Source organism: Homo sapiens, chromosome 5 (genome assembly GCF_000001405.40).
Source record: "Homo sapiens chromosome 5, GRCh38.p14 Primary Assembly".
Lineage (NCBI taxonomy): Eukaryota > Metazoa > Chordata > Mammalia > Primates > Hominidae > Homo > Homo sapiens.
Window position 1 is genome coordinate 106,251,421 of NC_000005.10, and position 4,065 is coordinate 106,255,485.

The 4,065-nt window shown below is 37.3% G+C and overlaps 1 annotated feature.

Annotated features, from left to right (window-relative positions):
* Positions 3,236 to 3,838: an enhancer, noted in NCBI's record as "OCT4-NANOG-H3K27ac hESC enhancer chr5:105590357-105590959 (GRCh37/hg19 assembly coordinates)". NCBI's record gives its function as "activates a minimal SCP1, AML or CMV promoter by ChIP-STARR-seq in naive and primed H9 embryonic stem cells {active_cell/tissue: H9 hESC(naive and primed)}" and the evidence as "EXISTENCE:reporter gene assay evidence [ECO:0000049][PMID:30033119]".

Consider the following 4,065-nt stretch of genomic DNA (forward strand, 5'->3'; position numbering starts at 1 on the left):
CACATCCTCAAGACAACAAATAAAGCAATAGCAGGAAAAATTTCCCTTCTCTGCTTGCTTTCCAAGAAAGTTAAACCGATGCCCTGTTTATTAGTCTGCTTACATTCTAAAAGAATTTAATTTTTTTTCTGTTTTCTGTCATTTTCCCCCTCCCCAATCTGTTTTTCTCTCCCTCTCCTTCCTCTTTGTATTTTCTTCCACTCCCAAACCATAACTCAGTATTTTTTGAAAATTACTAAGTTCTTTGAATTTTGCAGAAGAGATATACCATATAAATGGGAACAACAGCAAAAGAAATGTGTTTCTCCTTAGGTGCCCTGATTGTAATGTAACATTAGGCAGCAGGTTTCTGTAATGAACTACAAAAGTCTGTCTTAAATAACAGTAAGTATTTAATAGAAAGCCACAAGAGCTTGGGAACATTCAAGATTTCAGCTGATTGTCTGTATTTAATGCATTATACTCATATAGAGAGGAAAAAGAAATGGAAAGGAAAAATACGCAGAAAAACAAGCCTTAATTGTCATGTGTAGTTCATATTTTCTAGTCTCAAAGTGTACAAAACATTACACATTAGCAGGATTTTTGTTTTGTTTTTTAAAAGTGAGCTAAGTCATCTGAATAAGAGTGGCAATTTAAGACACTGCCAAACTGGAAAGGGCCTAGGATAAAATTCTGAATTTCAATGGATGTATTCCCAAGAGTCATGCAGTCGGTTTGGTAACTGATGAGGTGATGACTACAGTCACCTCAATTTGCTCTCTGCAGGAACTATCCGTTAGAGAGAATAACATGTGTTCTGGAGTAAAGTTTTAAATTTTATCCATAAGAGATGAAAATTTTTTATTTTCTATTAAAATATAGAAGCAATAAGAAGGCTGGTTTATAACAATATTTTCTTCATATTGTTATGAGTGTATCTAGAGCAGTGATTATTACCTGAGCTATTTCTAAGAATGTCTGGAGACATTTTTGATTGTCACAATTGGTGAGGGACACTATTGCATCTAGTAGAGAGGCCAGTAATGGTGCTAAACATACTAAAATGCAAAGGACAATCTTCCATGGCAAATAATTATTTGACTTCAAATGTTCGTAGTACCAAGACGGAGAATCTCTAGCTAAAAGACTTTTTACAGACAATTCCAGTTAGCTACATGCTTCCTAATTTGTCAGACTTCTTAAGAAGTAAAAGATTACTAAGATGATAGAAGGACACAAATGTGATTATAAAATGTGATCCTAACATATTTGTCACTATTAAAGCCTGGCAACCCTGAAGAGTGAAGTTTGAGTTGGAGCTCGGCAATGGCAATATGGGAAAATAGTGTGTTATAAAATATTGAACTGAACTAGAATTTTGGAGATTAATGAGAATTTAGAAGACATCTCATATAGTCTTCACATTTCACAGATAAGGAAAATTAGAGTTGAAAAATTAAGTATGTAATATCACAGACTTAAGTAGTAGAGTTAGTGTAAATTGAATGCCTCTTACTTGTCTAGTTCTCTTTTTAGTAGTCCAAGAATTACAATCATATCTTTTCCTAAAGAAATGCACTAAATGATTCTCAAATTAAAGGACACTAAAATAAGAGAAATACTAAAAAAGAAAAATATAGAACCTTGCCATTCGGACAAATTTTAACTATGTGACTTTGGACAAGGTACTTAATGTCTTTAATGCTTAATGTTGTCACTTGAAAATGAGTATAAAATAGCTTGTTGACAGAATAAAAAAATGCATTTGTCATATAAGGTCTGGACTATAGGGAACAGAACATAATCCAATTAGGTCTTTTACAGGTCTAGAATACATAACTTCAACATTATCTTCACTGCACAACTGTCATTGTGGATCTCAAAAGGCTCATTTATGCAACAATCTACATTTAAATACCAATATTCACATCTGCTTTGTTATGACTCCAGGCATGTTGATTAACCTCTGACATAGCAATAAAAAATAATAGCATCCAATACTGACATGAATATTGAATATCATATAGACTAAATTAGAACCATAAACACTACCTACTGGGATAATAATCAAAGAGGATTTAGGAATTAGATATAATCTTCAGGAGAGATCAATGTAAATGTAAATGTTGTGGTAATTCTAAAAGCAATATATTACTCTCAGAATAAAAAATAGACTAAAGTCAGTAGGCAAAGAATTGGTGCCAAAATGTAAACTAAAAATCACCAAAATCCTGTATATATACCTATTGAGTACCTGAAGAAAGACTAGATTGTGAGTACAGAAGATGTTTATTATCAGACAAAAAATTCTGATTTTATTACTTGTTCTCTTCTAACCATAAAGAAGAGTTTAGTGAGGCAGAAGAGATGCCATTTCCACTTGCCAGTAAAAGTATAACACAGATCGATTCAGAGTATCTGTATGGCTCAGTTAGTGATCAGAGAAAATGGAAGTTCAGCAGAGGTAAAACTCATCCATGAGGTGACCAAAAAAGTAATAATGACAAACCATTTACATTGTTTTTGAATAAATATTTATATGGTTTGGATTTATGTTCCTACCGAAATCTCATGTCAAATTGTAATCTCCAGTGTTGGAGGTGGGGCCTCTTGGGAGGTGATTGAATCATAGGGGCAGATTTCCCCATTTGGTGCTGTTCTCATGTAGAGTTCTTGCAAGATTTGGTTGTTTAAAACTGTGTGGCATTTTCTCCCCCTCTCTTCCTCCTGCTCTGGCCACGTGAATGTGTGCCTGCATCCATTACGCCTTCCACCATGATTGTAAGTTTCCTGAGGCCTCTCCAGCCATTCTTCCTGGACAGCCTGTAAAACCCTGAGTGAATTAAACTTCTTTTCTTTATAAATTACACGCTCTCAGGTATTTATTCATAGCAGTGCAAGAACAGACCAATATAGAGAAATTGTACTGAGAGGCAGGGTATCACTATAAAGATAGATGAAAATGTGGAGGTAGCTTTGGAACTGGGGAGATGTTAGAAAAAATTAGAGGACTCAGAAGAAGACGGGAAGATGAGGGAAGGTTTGGAACTTTCTAGAGATTTGTTAAATTGTCATGACCAAAATGCTCATAATGATACGGACAATGAAGTCCAGGCTGGTGAGGTCTCAGATGAAGGTAAGGAACTTACTGCAAAATGGAGCAAAGGTTACTTCTGTTATGCTTTATCAAAGAGCCTGGTTGGATTGTGCCTCTGCCCTAGGTATCTGTGGAACTTTGAAATTTAAAGCGATAATTCAGGGTATCTGATGGAAGAAATTTCTAAGCAACAAAGTGTCCAAGATATGGCCTGGCTGCTTCTAGCACCCTGTGTTCATATTCATGAGCAAAAAAATGACCTGAAATTGGAACTTATATTTTAAAGAGAAGCACAGCATAAATGTTTGAAAAAAAATTGCAGCCAGGCCATGTGGTAGAAAAGAAAAGCCTATTTTCAGGGGAGCAATTTAAGCTGGCTGCAGAAATTTGCATAATTAAAGGGAATTCAAGTGCTAATAGCCAAGACCATGGGGAAAAGGCCTTGAAGGCATTTCAGAGATTTCTGAGGTAGCCCCTCCCATCACAGGCCTGGGGGCATAGTAGAGAAGAATGGTTTCATGACTCAGGCCCAGGGCCCCACTGCTCTATGCAGCCTCAGGACAAGGTACCCTGCATCACAGTTGCTCCAGTTCCAGCCATAGCTAAAAGGGGCCAAGGTGCAGCTCAAGTCATTGCTTCAGAGTGGGCAAACCATAAGCATTGGTGGCTTCCATGTCGTGTTAAGCATGTGGGTGCACAGAGTCCACGAGTTGAGGCTTGGGAGCCTCCACCTAGATTTCAGAATATGAATGGAAAAGCCTGGATATTTAGGCAGAAGTCTGTTGCAGGGGCAGACCCCTCATGAAGATCCTCTACTAGGGCAGTGCAAAGGGAAAATGTGGAGTTGGAGCCCCCACACAGAGTCCCCACTGGAGCACTTCCTAGTGGAGCTATGAGAAGAGGACCACCATCCTCTAAACCCCAGAATGGTAGATCCACCAACAGCTTGTACCACATGCCTAAAAAGCCACAGGCACCCAACAATC